The sequence below is a fragment of the Homo sapiens genome, chromosome 8, assembly GCF_000001405.40.
Source record: "Homo sapiens chromosome 8, GRCh38.p14 Primary Assembly".
In the NCBI taxonomy this organism is placed as follows: domain Eukaryota; kingdom Metazoa; phylum Chordata; class Mammalia; order Primates; family Hominidae; genus Homo; species Homo sapiens.
The window spans coordinates 52,708,190-52,725,898 of NC_000008.11; the positions used below are offsets into that span (position 1 = coordinate 52,708,190).

General features: G+C 41.8%; 1 protein-coding gene across 16 annotated transcripts in view, besides 4 other annotated features; it reads right to left on the bottom strand.

The window, feature by feature from the left end:
* RB1CC1 (RB1 inducible coiled-coil 1) overlaps positions 1-6,246 on the bottom strand; it is a 91,978-nt gene extending 85,732 nt beyond the window's left edge. For all 16 annotated transcript variants that reach the window (XR_928826.4, XM_017014109.2, XM_011517645.3 and 13 more), the window contains exon 1: positions 5,886-6,246. The gene's annotated coding sequence lies outside the window, so the exon portion shown is untranslated. The remainder of the gene's footprint in view (positions 1-5,885) is intronic.
* Positions 5,701-6,170: a silencer, noted in NCBI's record as "silent region_19190". NCBI's record gives its function as "represses an Ori minimal core promoter by ATAC-STARR-seq in GM12878 lymphoblastoid cells {active_cell/tissue: GM12878}" and the evidence as "EXISTENCE:reporter gene assay evidence [ECO:0000049][PMID:35858748]".
* Positions 6,201-6,370: a silencer, noted in NCBI's record as "silent region_19191". NCBI's record gives its function as "represses an Ori minimal core promoter by ATAC-STARR-seq in GM12878 lymphoblastoid cells {active_cell/tissue: GM12878}" and the evidence as "EXISTENCE:reporter gene assay evidence [ECO:0000049][PMID:35858748]".
* Positions 6,431-6,740: an enhancer, noted in NCBI's record as "active region_27347". NCBI's record gives its function as "activates an Ori minimal core promoter by ATAC-STARR-seq in GM12878 lymphoblastoid cells {active_cell/tissue: GM12878}" and the evidence as "EXISTENCE:reporter gene assay evidence [ECO:0000049][PMID:35858748]".
* Positions 6,761-6,810: an enhancer, noted in NCBI's record as "active region_27348". NCBI's record gives its function as "activates an Ori minimal core promoter by ATAC-STARR-seq in GM12878 lymphoblastoid cells {active_cell/tissue: GM12878}" and the evidence as "EXISTENCE:reporter gene assay evidence [ECO:0000049][PMID:35858748]".

Genomic DNA, 17,709 nt, shown 5'->3' on the forward strand with positions numbered 1-17,709 from the left:
ATCTTTGCTGATCTGAATTTTACTCATCTTTAAAAGTCAAAGTATTGCCGGGCACACTGGCTCACGCCTGTAATCCCAGCACTTTGGGAGGCTGAGGCGGGTGGATCACAAGGTAAGGAGATCGAGACCATCCTGGCTAACACAGTGAAACCCCGTCTCTGCTAAAAATACAAAAAAATTAGCCGGGCATGGTGGCGGATGCCTGTAGTCCCAGCTGCTTGGGAGGCTGAGGTGGGAGAATGGCGTGAACCCAGGAGGCGGAGCTTGCAGTAAGTTGAGATCACACCACTGCACTCCAGCCTGGGCAACAGAGCGAGACTCGTCTCAAAAACAAACAAACAAACAAACAAACAAAAGTCCAAGTATTGTCCTATTACCACTTCTGGGAAGTCTTCCCTTATCACAGGTGGCCTATAGTATTCTTTCTCCTTTCTCTGAATTTACAGAACTCTTAAGTAGTTAATATAAGGTAGCAGGAATTCTCTTATCTGGGGGGAAAAACCTATCTCTCATTATGAGGACATCTGGTCCTCCTAAATCCTCCTAGGATACAGTCAGCTATAAATGAAGGGGAGAAGAGAGCTGTATTTTAAAAAATATTGATCCGACAGGGTGGTGGACATTATCTCCATTGATGCGGTAGTAGCCCGTGACCCCTCAATGAGGGAGAATTGCTAATAACTGCAGTTTACAGAACTAGGGATCAGGCAAAATTATTTCTAATCATCTTTTCTCTCTGAAGCTTTTAGTCCACTTTATATGCCACCCAGCACTTTGGGAGGCAGAGGCGGACAGATCACCTGAGGTCGCGAGTTTGAGACCAGCCTGACCAACATGGATAAACCCCATTTCTACTAAAAACACAAAATTATCTGAGTGTGGTAGCACATGCCTGTAATCCCAGCTACTCAGGAGGCTGAGGCAGGAGACTCGCTTGAACCCGGGAGTCAGAGGTTGCGGTCAGCTGAGATCATGCCATTGCACTCCAGCCTGGGCAACAAGAGTGAAACTCCATCTCAAAAAAATAAATAAAAATAAAAATATATTGATCCCACTGCATTTGTTTCCAGATGTACAGGAATAACAACTGAACCCATATATATCCATATTTGAGGAAAAGAACCAGAAAGTATCTCACATACTCATTAAAATCTATCCAACTTATCAAGTGGAGATTTACAATTTTCTCGAGAGATTATCATGATGATAAAGTCAATTATCCCAGCCTTACTGTCAACTATTCTAATACAGTCAAAACTTAGAATTAGGCCAGACACAGTGGCTCCTGCCTGTAATCCCAGCACTTTGGGAGGCCGAGGTGGGTGGCTCACTTCAGGCCAGGAGTTCAAGACCAGCCTGGGAAACATGGTGAAACCCCGTCTCTACTAAGAATACAAGAATTAGTTGGCAGTGGTAGTGCATGCCTGTAATCCCACCTACTGGGAGGCTGAAGTGGGAGGATCATCTGAGCCCACGAGGCAGTGGTTGTAGTGAGCCTAGATCACACCATTGCCTGTCGCCTGCCTGGGCGACAAAGTAAGACTCTGCCTTAAAAAACAAAAACAAACAAACAAAACAGAATTCGCTTCCTTATATGATAAGGTGAAAGGGGGACACCCCAATGACAATCTCTGACCTTCAAAACTGGACACATTCATTATTCATCCACTATTTTGGGGGCATCTAAACATAAGCCAGACACTGCTAGGTGCCTGGAATACAAATATCTTCAAGATGCTTTCCAGCTGAATAGAACACATGAGACTCAGATAACCCTAAAGTGGACTAAAAGCTTCAGAGAAAAGATGATTGGAAATAATTTTGCCTGATCTCTAATTCTGTAAACTGCAATTATTAGCAATTCTCCCTCATTGAGGGGTCACGGGCTACTGCATCAATGGAGATAATGTCCACCACAAACGGAGTGTCTAGGTTGCCCAGGGACTGAAAACTGGGCATCAGTCTCCCCAAATCAGATGTATTCTAATCTGATCCTACCCCTTCTCTGCCAAGAAAAAGAATGAAAGATGAGTAGGTCAGGCATTTTCCTCACATTTCCCTGAAAGAAAACCTTTTTCATAAAAGTTCAGACTTCCTAAATATACGCCTTGTCTACAAACTAGACAAGCAACTTCGCCAAAAGAATGAAGCGAGCATTTAGAAAGGTAGTGCCCAAAGACAGCAAATGAGGTAAAAATAGCAGAACAGGAATACTTTTAAAACAAAAATGAAAAATACTTTGGAGTACACCCTTCAGGTTTTTTTCCCTAGGTGTACAGGAAATATGTGTATATTCAGGCAATATGGTTTTATAAAAATGAGGTGACACCCTACATACTACTATGGACTTTGCTTGAACTGCATAAAATAACAGAAATCTTTCTGTATCAGTACATATAAATGCATTACACATTTTGGTGTCCCTATCGTTTATAAAAACTACATAAAATGCATGATTTTAGTGAAAATTTTCTAGTTGTGTTTTATTTTATAACGGAAACTAACAGTAAAACCAAAATTATCTATATAGCAAATATAGAATTATATAAGACAGGGAAAATGGGGAAAAAAAAGAAAATGTAGAATTAGCTGCATTCTATTAAACCAAGATTATCTATAAACATATAACCAAATTATTAAACCAGCCTGCCCAAATCTGGTATTTGCAGTAAAACAATTACTAAAAGCCGTTATATTACTGTAATATAATATGGTATTGAATTAATATTTCAACAGGTATGCTGGACAGTTACTGAACAAGTATAATGTGTGGAATGTGAAGGAAAAATGAGTGGACAGTCTCAAATCAGTGACAAAAAAAGGAAATGGAACACAATTATTTTTATCTCCTAGCACAATTACAAGCCAATAAAATATGAGAGTTCAAAAGAGCAAACTAACGGGTAGAAAAAAATCATGGATGAAAAAAAATGGGCGAGGATTGTTATTCCACAATCCTCAAAGCACTCACTAAACAGCCATGAAAGCAGAAACAAATTAGCCAAGGAAAGAGGGTACTTGGAGGCATTCAAGTACTGCACTTACAAAAAGTAATCCAACAGAACCGGAACTTTACAAAGGGATAGAAAGAAATGCCATCCTCTCAGGACCCTAAACAATGGGGGTACAGTTTACAGTCAAATTAAGTTGATTTGGTCCATAATAAATAATCAGAGACAAGTAATCTTCACATCCTTTTATCTATGTGAGTTAAGCAAAAACTCATCAACCTAGCACTATACAATCGGCTTAGCTAGCCTTTTATCTACTCTACATCCTCAAAGTAATCTGCGTTTGTCATTTACCTCCATGAAAATTTCCAGTGGTTACCCATTTCCTATAAATAAATATATATACATAGACAGATATGTCTTTCTTGTTCACTGTTGCATTGCTGAAGCTAAAAGAGTATGCTGCAGGGGTTCAATTAGCATTTCAGGAATAAATGAAGTGAATTTGGCTTCAACTGCTTTCCAGCCATGCTGGGTTTACTTGAATTCATCTGTAGACCTTTGTGAGTTAGAGCACATTAGTTTCCTTACTATGACTTCCAAACCTGAATATGTAGAGCCCCACAATCTACCATTACTATCGCCTCTCTCATACCAGTCCAGCTTCAGTAACTTCATTTTTCTTGGTATATGCCATGTATATCAGAGCCTTTCCATTTACTGTTTCTTCTGCCAAAAATTCCTTTCGAGAGTCACACACTTACACCCCTTACTTCTCTTGGGCCTTTATTCAAAAGGCAATCAGTGGCCGGGCTTTGGGAGTCCGAGGCAGGCAGATCACCTGAGGTCAGGAGTTCAAGACCAGCCTGGCCAACATGGTAAAACCCCGTCTCTACTCAAGAACAATTACTTAAACATTTTTATGTTCCTCATGTAACTAGTTCAAAAACCTCACAGTGGTAAAAAGATAATAAAAGAATCGTGAAAGTGTGTTGAAAGGGACTGCTAGATTTTCAAAGTGTCTTAGGCCAGTATTACTACAAAAGAAAAGTGTAACTGGAGTCAGAAAATATCATTACCTGAATGAGAAAATTTTATCAGCCATTCTTTTAAAAAGATATTCATAAGACATACACATCTGCAAAGTAAAGCATGTAGGTGCTCAAATATCTGCTGAATGTATGATATAAAATTTTAAGTTAATATTAGAGTCTAAAAACTTTTCTCAGGCTAACATAATCAAAATTTAGGTTCAAAATTTCGAAAACAAAAGTCTTGTGTCTTCTGCCTTTATGAACTTGATTTGCTAAAGTAAATCTGCCATGCATCCTGATCTTGTGTTTGGCAGCAAGAGCCAAAAAAAAAAAAAAAAAAAACTCAGGGACAAAAGTACCGCTTCATTGTCTTCCCTGTCGTCCAATAACAAACATATAAAGGATTAGGTACATAAATAATCATATCTTGATTACCATAAAAAGTTCAAAATAGACTAAATAAAATTACTTTAAAAATATGAACTATGTCAATATCCACTTTCCATCAACAGAGGTTTCTCAACGTAAGCATTATGTGCCTAAAGCATCCCTGACATAAAACTTTATCCAGGTTTTGAACACAATCACAAACATTAAAAGACATGACAGGAATGTTATTGAGAAAATATCTTCATTAGGGCCATATTCTGTTACAACAAATATAAAAAGCGAACATATTTTCACATTCCTAGCAATGGTCTGCTTATAAATCCAATAATCCAAAAACTAAAATCAGCCACCTCCCTCAGTAGTTCCTTGGTTTCTCACAGTTTTATCTGATCAGAAGTGGAAGGACCCTCTTTTTATCGTCTATCACAATGTAATAACATTCTTGATTAAACACACAATTAAGTCTACTTAAGTCTCTTCCTAAATTGCTAACTGTCCAAACTTATGTATAAATCATACAAGCTTCACCAAAACACAAAAACTTAAGAAACTACACAATAAAATAGTTAGCAAATAGGTACACTTTAAATGTTTGCAGCAGACTTGAGAACATTCCCATCTGGCTGAATGTCTCGTAGTAACGTGACTCTTTATCAACAGTGAGCACATGAGTCTTCCTTGGCAGCCAAGTCTACACTACTTCAAGGTATGACCACACTTTAAAGAGTCATGATGGAAACGACTAGATTACGAAACCATAAACAGTAAACACAGCACATCCACCAGGCGGTGGAAGAAACTATAGAGATATTCCATTCAGAAGCTGCTATTTCTACTGTTGGTTAATGTATTTTTGTTTCTACCAAGGAAGCTGTGAAATCCGCGTGCACACCCATCCCAAATCTATCCGTGGGGCGGGCGCAGGCTGAGTCATTCCTAGGAGTAACTTTATACCGATCCTCGCACTCTGGGGTCGGGACAAAGACATCATCTCTCCGTTCCTCCCATTCGGTGAGCTTCGTTCGGCCTCGGCCAAACTCCACTCTCCCGTTTCTCGAGTCCAACACAGAATTAAGGGCTGATCCCTGGCAGCGATGAGCACAAGTCAAGATGCGTCTTGGGAGGTTCGGACGTCCCTCGCCCTCGGCCACTCCGGCAACTAGGCCGGGTACTAAGCGGCAGCGCAGAGGGAGGGATCCCAAGGCTCCGGCCGAGGAAGCCGCAGGCAGCCCCGCAGCACGAGTCCGACCCACACCTCCGGCAGCCTAGTGGAGCATCGACTCGAACCGCTTTTGTCTCCACAGGGGCTGTCGCGCCGGGAAAGCGGCCAGTGGGCAACACCTGCCGGGGCGGGAGGCGCCGGGGCCCTCCCGTGCACACACCTGCGCGTGGGCCGGGCTCAGGCCGACCGGAACCCTGGACCATGCGACCCCGGCCCACCGTGCCAGGGCCCGCCGCGCGACCGCTGTGCCAGATGGGGGAAGGGGACGCGGGCGGCGGCGACACTTACCCGGCAACGCCTCCTCCTTCGCCGGCGGCAGCAGCAGAGCCAGCGACCCCCGGCACCATCTTCCGCCGCCGCCTAGTCCTCGGCAGCGGTTACCAACCGCCCATTCGGCACCGCTAAGCCGACACAACCGCCGGCGTCCCGGGCGCCCGCCCGCCGCGGCCCCGAACTCTAGGAGGCAGGGAGGGGTCCGGGCGGACAAGGACGCGAGCAGGCCCCTCGGCTCTGGGTCTGGGGCCGGGGGACAGAAGGCCGCGGCCTGTCAGAGCCGAGGGGCCCAGGCGACTGGGGGATTCTGAGGCAACGCCGAGGGCTCGGCAGGGCCGCGGACACCGCCGCGGCTTGGTTTGTTATTGTCGACTCCGTCTCTTCCTCCGCGGCGCATGCCGGGAAACGGCCTGCCGGGGGAGGGGCGCGCCTGGAGGCGCAGAGAGGCGTCTACGCAGGTCCGGAAGTCGGCAGCCTGCCGGGAAGGGGGCGGCCCCGCCTCCGGCTCTCCGGCCGGCAGGTTGGCTGTCCTGGCCTGACCCTGGGAGACTCCGCTGGGGCCGCCTGTTATGGTGCTAGCTGCCGTCCCGGTGCGTACTTTCCCAAGGTGAATTTGACCTTCTTTGCGACAGCTAGGCCCTGACTAAGGTCGACCCACCAAACACTGGATCGTCCCCAGGCGAAAGAGAGCTTGTTCCCCTCAGCCTGTCGCGGAGGAGCGGAGCCAATCGAGGGTCTGGTGTCCCCGTCGCCTCTCCAGGGGCAACCTGCGGACTAGGCCAAGGTCTGTAACAGGATAACGTACCAGCGCCTGGCCCAGGCGTTCCTGCCGCCACCTCCCCGCATATCCGGACCGCCGGGACTGCACGCAGCTGGCAAGCGTCCCCCTGTTAACTCTGCAAGGGTGGGGCGGCACCATTTCTCAGACCAGGTAAGGCAAGAAAACATGCAAGAGAGAAGAGAGGGAAGCCTAGGCCAATCGGAATGAAAATGTAAACGCCACAACCACGTTTTCAGCTTTACAAATACTGAATCTTGTAGTGGGTCTAGTGGGTTAGGGGTTAGCATGAGCACCCTAATGGTTGGGAGACAGTTTCAGGGGACTCTTGCATTTGTGAAGATGATCAGTCACAGGCAATGACTTGAAGCCACGAGGCTTGAATATTAAAATCTGATGAGCAGATGTTACACGTAGAATAATTACATAATAGTTCTCAAATTCCTGTTATATCCAGGAATATCTGGTATGAGTGAAAACTTGGAGGTGCCTTCTCTAAAGTCATCAGGAATTCTGAGTTGTGTTTGTAAAAATAGGAGGCACAAGAGGGCACCAAACTGAACAAAATGTTAGGTGGAAACTGAAAAACGTTGGTTAGCATGAACAATTTCAGTTTTCAGTCACACTGACCAGTATCTGTAAGTTAGGATTGAGATGGGCTTGTTTTATTTATTTACTTTTAAATTTGTGCTGCTACATATCCCAAACAAATGTGGTCTTTATCATCACTGGCAAGCCATTTTACTTATTGGTTAAGCTGGAATTTTATTACACCACCCCAGCAAGATAGAGGAGAAAAGCGAAAATTAAGTAGTAAATGGTTATTATGCCTTAAGGGAAGGTGTGAACTGGCAAGACAAAAGAGCCAAATTTAGTAGTAAAGCATAGTCATCAGCACACAGAAAATAAGTGGTGAGGAGGAGTTTGGCCAGAAAATTGGCTAAGAAAAATGGCAGTATGACCAAGAATGAAAAGAAAAAGAAAGAAAAGAAAAACTGCAGTATGAGGCCTGTAAAGAACGTATTGGTACTTGCACTTCCTCTTATTAGTGACATTCATTATTACAAATATAACCCAATTTAGAATGTAAAAATCTTGCTGGAGCTCGGTGCAGTGGCTCACACCTGGAATCCCAGCACTTATGGGAGGCCGAGGCAGGAGGATTGCTTGAGCCCAGGAGTTGGAGACCAGCCTGGGCAACGTAGTGAAACCCCTTCTCTACAAAAAATACAAAAATTAGCTGGGCGTGGTGATGCACACCTGTGGTCCCAGTTACTCAGAAGGCTGAGGTGGGAGAATCAGTTGAGCCCAGGAGGTCGAGGCTGCAGTGAACCATCATGGCACCACTGCACTCCTAGCCTGGACAACAGATTGTTGCCCTGTCTGAAAAATAAAAAAAAATTTCTGAACTATGCCAGTGATAATCTGGTAAATTATAAATGTTGTCTGACTTTTTTCTTTGGAAAATGAATTAATTCAGTCCTAACCTTCTCTCTTAATCACAGGTTGCAATAAATTACCAGAAACGACTGGTTCATACCTTATACACCTCCAGTGTAAATGTTAAGAGTTTGTATATTCTTAACAGACTCTTAACAAACATCAGTAATTCTTTCCTAGGGATAAGTGAAAATGTACTAACATTAATTCTATTATATATATGCAAATATCTAGAGGAAATACTGTTTATAAGTTACTAATACATGTATCCATGGTAGTAGGTCTTGAAAAGTTACTTTTGTTGCCTATTGGACACCCTCTATTCTCCCTTCCTTAATAAAACAAAAAAAAGAACAAACAAAATTCTGTAGCATCACTTCTCAACCAAGCTTTCTGATAGGAAGTCCTCAGTCCAATCTCATTTTTGGCCTACTGTGCATTTCTTACTTAACTTGCAAACAGATCATTAACAAGGACCTCCAAATTACAGTAAATTACAGTACTAAGATTTTACTTGAACTTTCTAAAGCATTCGCCATTTTAAATTATTTAACTTTTATACTCCTCCTTCCCTTTTGTGCTGTTTCCTTCCTGGCGCTCCTAAATATCTGTCCATTCTTTGGACCTCTTCCAAATTTTCAGATAATTATAATAGTGTGCGAATGATGCAAAGGTAATGTGCCGTGGGAGAGAACAGAAGAGAGAAACCTAATTCTGGCCTCATCACATTATTGTTTTTTTAAATTTAATAACTATTTTAGATGCTTCAGTAGATTTACAGTGAGGGCAAAAGAAAACAGTTTTCTTTAGGAGTATGGAGGGATTATATAGGATGTACAATAAATACCCTAAGTACTTCAAATCAGTTCAGATCTTTAAAATCCTATTTTTCCTTCAGTTCTCAACTTCAATATCACCTACTCTGGGAGTCATTCCCTACCATGCTTGTTTGTTTGTTTGTTTGTTTGTTTGTTTGTTTTGAGACAGAGTCTCACTCTGTTGCCCAAGCTGGAGTGCAGTGACACCATCTCTGCTCACCGCAGCCTCTACCTCCCAGGTTCAAACGATTCTCTTGTCTCAGCCTCCCTAGTAACTGGGATTACAGGCACTTGCCACCACTCCCGGCTACTTTTCATACTTTTATTAGATGGGGTTTCACCGTGTTGGCCAGGCTGGTCTCGAACTCCTGATCTCAAGTGATCCACCCGCTTCAGCCTCCCCCACAGTGCTGGGATTACAGGAGTGAGCCACAGCACCTGGCCACATGCTTGTAATTTCTTTAGATTCTCACATTGTATCTTTCAGTGTCATCTAACATGCTGACTATAAGCTCCTTTTTAAAAGATGTACTGTACCTGGTATATAATGGTATGCACTCAACAAACATTTGACAGTACCCCACAACTTGTTCAGGCCCTCAATTTATACCTGAATTGACCTCCTATCCATCTCCATTATTTACTCCATCCAAGACCAGTCTAATCAAATCTCTTCCCTGCCTAACAACTTTCATTGGTTTTGTTTTGTATACTAGATACAATTTAAACTTTTTTTTTTTTGAGATGGAGTCTCTCTCTGTCACCCAGGCTGGAGTTCAGTGGCGCGATCTTGGCTCACTGCAAGCTCCACCGCCTGGGTTCACACCATTCACCTGCCTCAGCCTCCCAAGTAGCTGGGACTACAGGCGCCTACCACCACGCCCGGCTAATTTTTTGTATTTTTTGTAGAGACGGGGTTTCACCATGTTAGGCAGGATGGTCTCGATCTCCTGACCTCGTGATCCGCCCGTCTTGGCCTCCCAAAGTGCTGGGATTACAGGCATGAGCCACTGTGCCCGGCCCTGGGCATGGGTAAACTTCTTAACCTAGCATGAAAGTCTCTCCATGATAAGGTATCAACCCATCTCTCCAGTGTATCTCCCAGCACTTTTCTCCCCTTTATATGTGCTCTATATGAGTTTCCTCATCCAGGAATGTTCTTCCCCACTTGTTCACCTTTAAAGTCATCCCTTAAAACACAGCTTGGATGTTAGCAGCTTCTAACTTCTAGAGTTTCCACTCTTCTATTAAGCTTTGCTCTGTATCTCACAACTGTAAATTTTTCTCTCCCCTCTTAGTCTGTGAAACTCTTAAGATTAAGAACTATGCATTATTAATTTTTAAATTCCTGGAACTTTATGGAGAGCTTGGCAGTCAGCAATTAATACAAGATTTGCTGTATGTAATACATTCTGCAAATTTTTATATTTATATTGATGGTTGACTAGAAAGTTACTGTGGAAAATTCCTGCCATCAAATATCTCATAGGCTTGTAAAGGGGACCATTCAAAACAATTGCAGTAACAAAGGCAGGGTGCAGTGGCTCACGCCTGTAATACCAGCTGAGGTGGGCAGATTGCTTGAGCTCAGGAATTTGAGACCAGCCTGGACAACATGGTGAAACCCTGTCTCTAGTAAAAATACAAAAATTAGCCAGGCATGGTGGCGCCCAACTGTAGTCCCAGATACTCAGGAGACTAATGTGGGAGAATCAATTGAACCTGGGGACGGAGGTTGCCATGAGCCAAGATCATGCCACTGCACTCCAGCCTGGGAGACAGAATGAGACTCCATCTCAAAAAAGAAGAATAATAATAATTGCAGGCTGGGTGCAGTGGCTCACGCCTCATGCCTGTAATCCCAACACTTTGGGAGGCTGAGGCGGGTGGATCACCTGAGGTCAGGAGTTCGAGACCAGCCTGACCAACATGGAGAAACCCCGTCTCTACTAAAAATACAACATTAGCCAGTGGCGCATGCCTGTAATCCCAGATACTCAGTAGGCTGAGACAGGAGAATCACTTGAACCCAGGAGGCGGAGGTCGCAGTGAGCCGAGATCGCACCATTGCATTCCAGCCTGGGCAACAAGAGCGAAACTCCGTCTCAAAAAAAGAAAAAAAAAATAAATATAATTGCAGTAACAAATTTATATGATATTAATTCTTTACCAAAGTACATTCAGTTTATTGGGAAGATCATGGTAAACATCTTAATTTTGTCAACTCTGCCTGAGGCATTCAGCACATGTATTAAATATTTCTCAAACAACTTAGTGTCATTACCCTAATTTTCTTTTAGGCAATGTTCAAACAACCAGCAACCACAATTCACATAATTTGGCTTTATTCAAAGTATGAGGCACAATTATTGTTCATTTTTAAAAGGGTTAAAAAGATGTACGTTTTGGACTTTGTTTTTAAAACCATAACTAATTTGGTGTATATGATTATGTACTATTTAGAGGCTGCTGGCACTATGATGATTAAGTTAATGTTTTCAGTACTGCTTATAGACCTGAAAGCTGCCCTTCTCAGCTGGTTTGTGGGTACTCAAACATACTAATAATGATGATGGCTAACTTAGGAATGACCATCTTCAAAGCTAGTGATGACTTGATGAGCTCATAAGCAACACTGTTTCCAATGCTGCAGCAACATAGTCAAGAAAACACTTCTAGAATGCTTAATTTCCTGAAAGATTTAAACCAATAGATTAAGACAAAACATTTGTAGTCATTTTTCAGATTGAAAGAGATATCTTTTTGCATCATGTTTTATTAGGTTCTTGTCTTTCATTATTTTGAAGAGCTGCCTAGCAAAGTGTCCAAAAATAGAGCTGGCACTGTTTATAAAATGCCTTAAGGCAGAAGTTAATCAGTCATGTAGACACAGATACAGAACTGATTCAAATGTCAAGTGGTAGTTGGACTTCAGGTGGTGACTTTCTAACTTTTACTGTGATCCACATTAAGAAATACAGTTTCACATTGTGACCTGGTATACATACACAGGAAAAAGTACTTGCTGCTTGTGATATACTCTGATACCTTCTATTGTTTTTTTTTCCTCTTGCTAGTCTTACACATTACATCGATTTTACTATCATCCAATGGTTTCAGAGATATTAGATTCAATGACTTAGGCCCCAAACCTTGAGATTCTTTGTTCCTGATTTTTCTGTCAGTGCCTTCCTATTTCTGTCAGTGCCTCAGTAGTGTTTATAAATAAATGCTTCTTTTTTTTTTTTTTTGAGATGGGAGTTTCACTCTCGTTGCGGAGGCTGGAGTGCAATGGCGCAATCTCAGCTCACTGCAACCTCTGCCTCCCGGGTTCAAGTGATTTTCCTGCCTCAGCCTCCCGAGTAGCTGGGATTACAGGCATGCACCACCACACCTGGCTAATTTTGTATTTTTAGTAGAGACGGGGTTTCTCCATGTTGGTCAGGCTGGTCTCGAACTCCTGACCTCAGGTGATCTGCCCTCCTTGGCCTCCCAAAGTGCTGGGATTACAGGCGTGAGCCACCGCGGCTGGTCAATAAATGTATTTTTTAAAAAGCATGACCTAACGGAGCTCATGAAACACTTATGGGTGTATCTTAGATGCCAGACATGGGTTTTAAATTTATCAACCTGTTTAGTTGTCTTAGCAGCCCTATGCAGTTTCTGTAAATTTTCTTTGATTTTACAGATGGGGCAATAAGGCATGGAGTGGTTAAGTTGCTAATTCAATGTACTTCCTTCTAGTTAGTGTTCTTAAATTAGTAACTGTCAAGGCCAGGATTTGAACCCAGGTAATCCAATTGTACGGGCTATATCCTATATATCCTATGCATAGCCTATGCTCCCCCTTAATTTGGTGCTGGTCCTGCAGGGGTTAAAAAAAATTGGCTCAGCAAGGTGGCTCCCAGCTTACACCAGTAATCCCAGCACTTGGGGAGGCCAAGGCAGGTGGATAGCCCTGAGTTCAGAAGTTCTAGACCTGCCTGGACAATGTGGCAAAACCCCATCTCTACCAAGAATACAAAAAAAAAAAAAAATTAGCCAGGCATGTGGTGGCATACGCCTGTAGTTCCAGCCACTTGGGAAGCTGAGGTGGGAAGATTGCTTGAGCCTGGGAGGCAGAGGTTGCAGTGAGCTAAGATTGCACTGCTGCATTCCAGCCTGGGCAACAGGGTGAGACCCTGTCTCAAAAACAAAAAAAGAAAAAATGTCTAGCAATAGGTTACAGAGTTTCTCAATCTCATACCTACCAGTTAATTCTTTGTTATAAGGGGCTGTCCTGTACATTTTAGGATGTTGAACCTCCTTGGCTTCTGCCCACTAGATGCCAGTAGCACCCCAGTTATGACAATCAAAAATGCCTCTGGACATTTTGTAATGTTCCCAGAGGGACAAAATCAACCCCTTTCTCAGAATTCAGGGAAAACGTGGTACATCTATATAATGAAATACTATGCAGCCATTAATATTATATTTTAGAAGAATATTTAAAACAGGCCTGGCATGGTGGCTCACACCTGTAATCTCAGCACTCTGGTAGGCTGAGGTAGGAGAATCACTTGAGGCCAGGAGTTTGAGACCAGCTTGGACAACATAGCGAAACCCTGTCTCTACAAAAATAAAAGTAAAAATATAGACCAGGCGCGGTGGCTCACGCCTGTAATCCCAGCACTTTGGGAGGCCGAGGCGGGTGGATCACGAGGTCAGGAGATCGAGACCATCCTGGCTAACATGGTGAAACCCTGTCTCTACTAAAAGTACAAAAATAAGTTAGCCGGGCGTGCTCGGGAGGCTGAGGCAGGAGGATGGCGTGAACCTAGGAGGCGGAGCTTGCAGTGAGCCGAGATCGCACCACTGCACTCCAGCCTGGGCGACAGAGAGAATAAAAAAAATAAAAATAAAAATAAAATAAAAATATAGCTCTGTGTGGTGGTGCACTCCTCTAGTCTCAGCTACTTGGGAGGCTGAGGTGGGAGGATTGCTCGAGCCAAGGAGTTTAAAGCTACAGTGAACCATGACCACACCACTGTACTCCATCCTGGGCAACAAAGTGAGACCCTATTCTAAAAAAATTGTAAAAATATGTATATTAATTTTTTTTTTGTTTTGAGATAGGGTCTCACTCTCTCACCCAGGCTGTAATGCATTGGCACACCCACGGCTTGTTGCAGCCTCAACCTCCCAGGCTCAAGCAATCCTTCCACCTCACTGTCCCTAATAGCTGTAACTACAGATGCCCACCACCATGCCTGGCAAATTTTTGTATTTTTTGTAGAGACAGGGTTTCACCATGTTGCCCAGGCTGGTCTCAAACTCCTGGGTTCAGGCTCTCCTTTCACCTTAGCCTCCCAAAGTGTTGGGATTACAGGCGTGAACCACTCTGCCCAACCAAAAAATATTTAAAGACAAAGGAAAACAAAGTAGCAAGCTACTCTGTTTTACTATGTTTCGTATTTTAACATCTCTGAAATCTGGGTCCATTTAACAGTGGATGGATAGTGGTCCTCCAAGCTTGTCAACCAATGCCATCCATTTCCTGTGCTTACTATAAGACATCAAAAACACCAGATTGGAAAAAAATCCAAACTATAATGGTGAGAGAATTGATGAATAAGATGTGTTGTACAACATTCCCAAAGACAGCTAGGTACCTAGCACCACAGCTTTAGTTCTTTTATGGATTCTGTAAGGAAATGCTTGTTGCCAGTGCTTTCAGTGCTGCAAAGGATAAATTCTGTGGAAAAACCCAGACAATCTCTGAGTCGGAAGTAATAGTTCAAAAGTGATGAAATTTTAGAAATACCTTTACCAATGTAATTTGCTTGTATTTTCATTTTTATGTATGGGCAATATAATAAAAATGTGTCTAATGAAGTCTAAGAAAGCTTTCTAAGTAAGTACAAAATTAAATTCTAAGTGATTTTTCCTATGTGTATATTTTTCTTCATTTTCCAGACTACATATTTTTGAAAAATGTACCATTAGTCTTTTGTAACTTAAAACGAGTTCTGTTGTTTATCATATAAAATGAATGCTTTTTTCCCAATTCTCTGAAGTCCATTTATTTTAATAACACCATTTGTTTTTTTGCCTTCTTCCTCAAATGATCCCTTTGTTTTAATCAACCCTACCTGCTATCCATTCATGCAAAATACTTTTCCCAATAGTCATTCCTTTTCAGTATGATGTATTAAAAGGACCACTGAACTGAATGTCTGGAAACGTGGGTTCCAATTCTACCTCAGCCTTCTGTGTTGTTTCCCTAGTAGTTCACTCTTCCTACTCTCCATCAGATTGTCTGCACTATTCTTGAATCCCTAATTCCCACCCCTTCCCAGTTCTCTCTTTGGTAAATAATCTCACCTCCTACAACACTGAGGAAATAGAAGCCATGAGAAAAGAACTTCCTCTTCTGCCCTGAAATCTGCAAACCTATTTGCATCCACAAATTCTCTCCAACAGTCACTATTCTGTCCCTTCTATTTAAGGTAGTCGTGGGTTTTTGACTCCATCTCATTTTACCATCTCATTCTGTCATTCTGTGGAACCACTTACTAAGTACAAAATTTAGTTCATGTGTGACATACCTTACAAAACTTAAATATCTTTAAAATTGAAATTTATCCGGTTTCATTGTTTATTCATTTAAAATTAAAAATCAAGAAGTAAAACACTCTATCATCAATATGATTTAGTAGAAACAAATTATATCTTGTAGATGTTATTGAAATTCACTTATTAGTTGCTGGACAATTGTTTACATAAAATGACTTTTTAACAAAGGGTCAAAGTTAAAACTCCTAGGCAGATCTCAAAACTATCAAGTAGTATAGATTTTTTCTTTTTGGTTTTGTAATATTTGTGTGGCTTTTTTTTTTTTAACTTTTAAATTTTGACTGCCTTGATTAAAGTTTCAGTTAAAAAATTTTGCTGTCAATTTCTTTTCTAACCATTACTATTATTGTTGTTCTATTGTTACTGAAACTATAGAGGAATGGGATGTTAAAAAATTATCTACTCTGAGTGTCAAATACACTTCACCACTGGCAGGGCTCAGGGCTCTTCATTTTTTAATAAGTTCTAGGGGGAATTCTAATACAAGGAATGGCTTTGAGAAACAAGACTAAATTTTTAAAAATCCTCACAGTCCTGCTCAATCTTCTTTCTGTCAATAGATGTCGCCCCTCCCTTGAAATAAGCTCCTCAGAAAAATCCTAATCTACACACAAAGCTTTCTATGTGTTTGTATGCTTATTATGGATTAATTTGAACTCATATAATTCTCAGATGTGCCTTAATTTTTAAAATATGTGTATATAGTTTATACACATACATCATAAGTTGGCTGCATTAAGGAGTTGGAAAATCTGGGACTTCATTTGGATTTGGAAAATCAGTTAACATCTATAAATTCAAGTTCCTCATTTTGAAACTGTGTTGGCAATATCTACTTTAGCTACCTCACATTGTTCTATAGGTTAGAATGAAAAATCGCATGTAAAATATACTGTAGCTCTGACATTTGTACGGTCCCTACAGAAATTTTACATTAGCCAATCAACACTTTTTGAAAAATCTAACTCCAGTGGTTTTTAAAATGTATGAAGTGCTTGTATTTTAGTACAAACATCTAGTTACATTTAAAACATTTTGTGAAAAGAATTGCCATAAAATATTTTTAAAGTTCACATCTTTCTTACCGTTTACATTCATGTTATAGGCTTTTTGTCTCCTCTCCTTTCATTTTTTTCTACTCCCAGAGTTCTGGAAGCTGACCAAAGAGATACTTGTGTGAAATGCTTGTATTTTCCCTACCATATTTAAGGCTCTCAAGAGCAATTTTATGCTCCTGTTTTAAGATTTTTTTTAAAAAAAATTCAATATCACCAAGAAATGAACTGAAAATGACAGGTTTTCTGGAAGAAGGTTCAGCTAGGCTTTATTAAGAAGTTAGGAGGCCAGGTGTGGTGGCTCACGCCTGTAATCCAAGTACTCTGGGAGGCCAAGACGGGTGGATCACAAAGTCAGGAGATCAAGACCCTCCTGGCCAACATGGTGAAACCCCATCTCTACTAAAAATACAAAAATTAGTTGGGCGTGGTGGTGCATGCCTGTAATCTCAGCTACTTGGGAGGCTGAGGCAGAATTGCTTGAACCAGGGAATCGGATGTTGCAGTGAGCCAAGATTGTGCCACTGTGCTCCAGCCTGGGTGACAGAGCGAGACTCCGTCTCAAAAAAAAAAAAAAAAAAAAAAAAGTTATGATATGTCCTCAACACAGTGGGTAGTACAGATTCAAAATAAGTAAAAATGTTAAAGTCCACATTAAGTGACTTTAAAAAATTATCTTTTTCCTATTTCATATAACTGCTTCAGAAGTATTGTTTTTACTTGAAAATATTTTGTTGTATTTCTGTACAATAGCAATAAACAATTAAAATGCAATTGAGAGGCCAGGCGCAGTGGTTCATGCCTGTAATCCCAACACTTTGGGAGGCCAAGGCAAGCAGATCACTTGAGGTCAGGAGTTCAAGACCAGCCTGGCCAACATGGTGAAACCCTGTCTCTACCAAAAATACAAAAATTAGCTGGATGTGGTGGCAGGCATCTGTAATCTCAGCTACTCGGGAGGCTGAGGCATAAGAATCACTTGAACCCGGGAGGCGGAGTTTGCAGTGAGCCAAGATTGCACCATTGCACTCCAGCCTGGGCAACACAGTGAGACTCCATCTCAAAAAAAAAAAAAAAAATCTGTGAAACATTCTCTTCCCAATTTCAAAACTTTTCTACAAAGTCACAGTAAT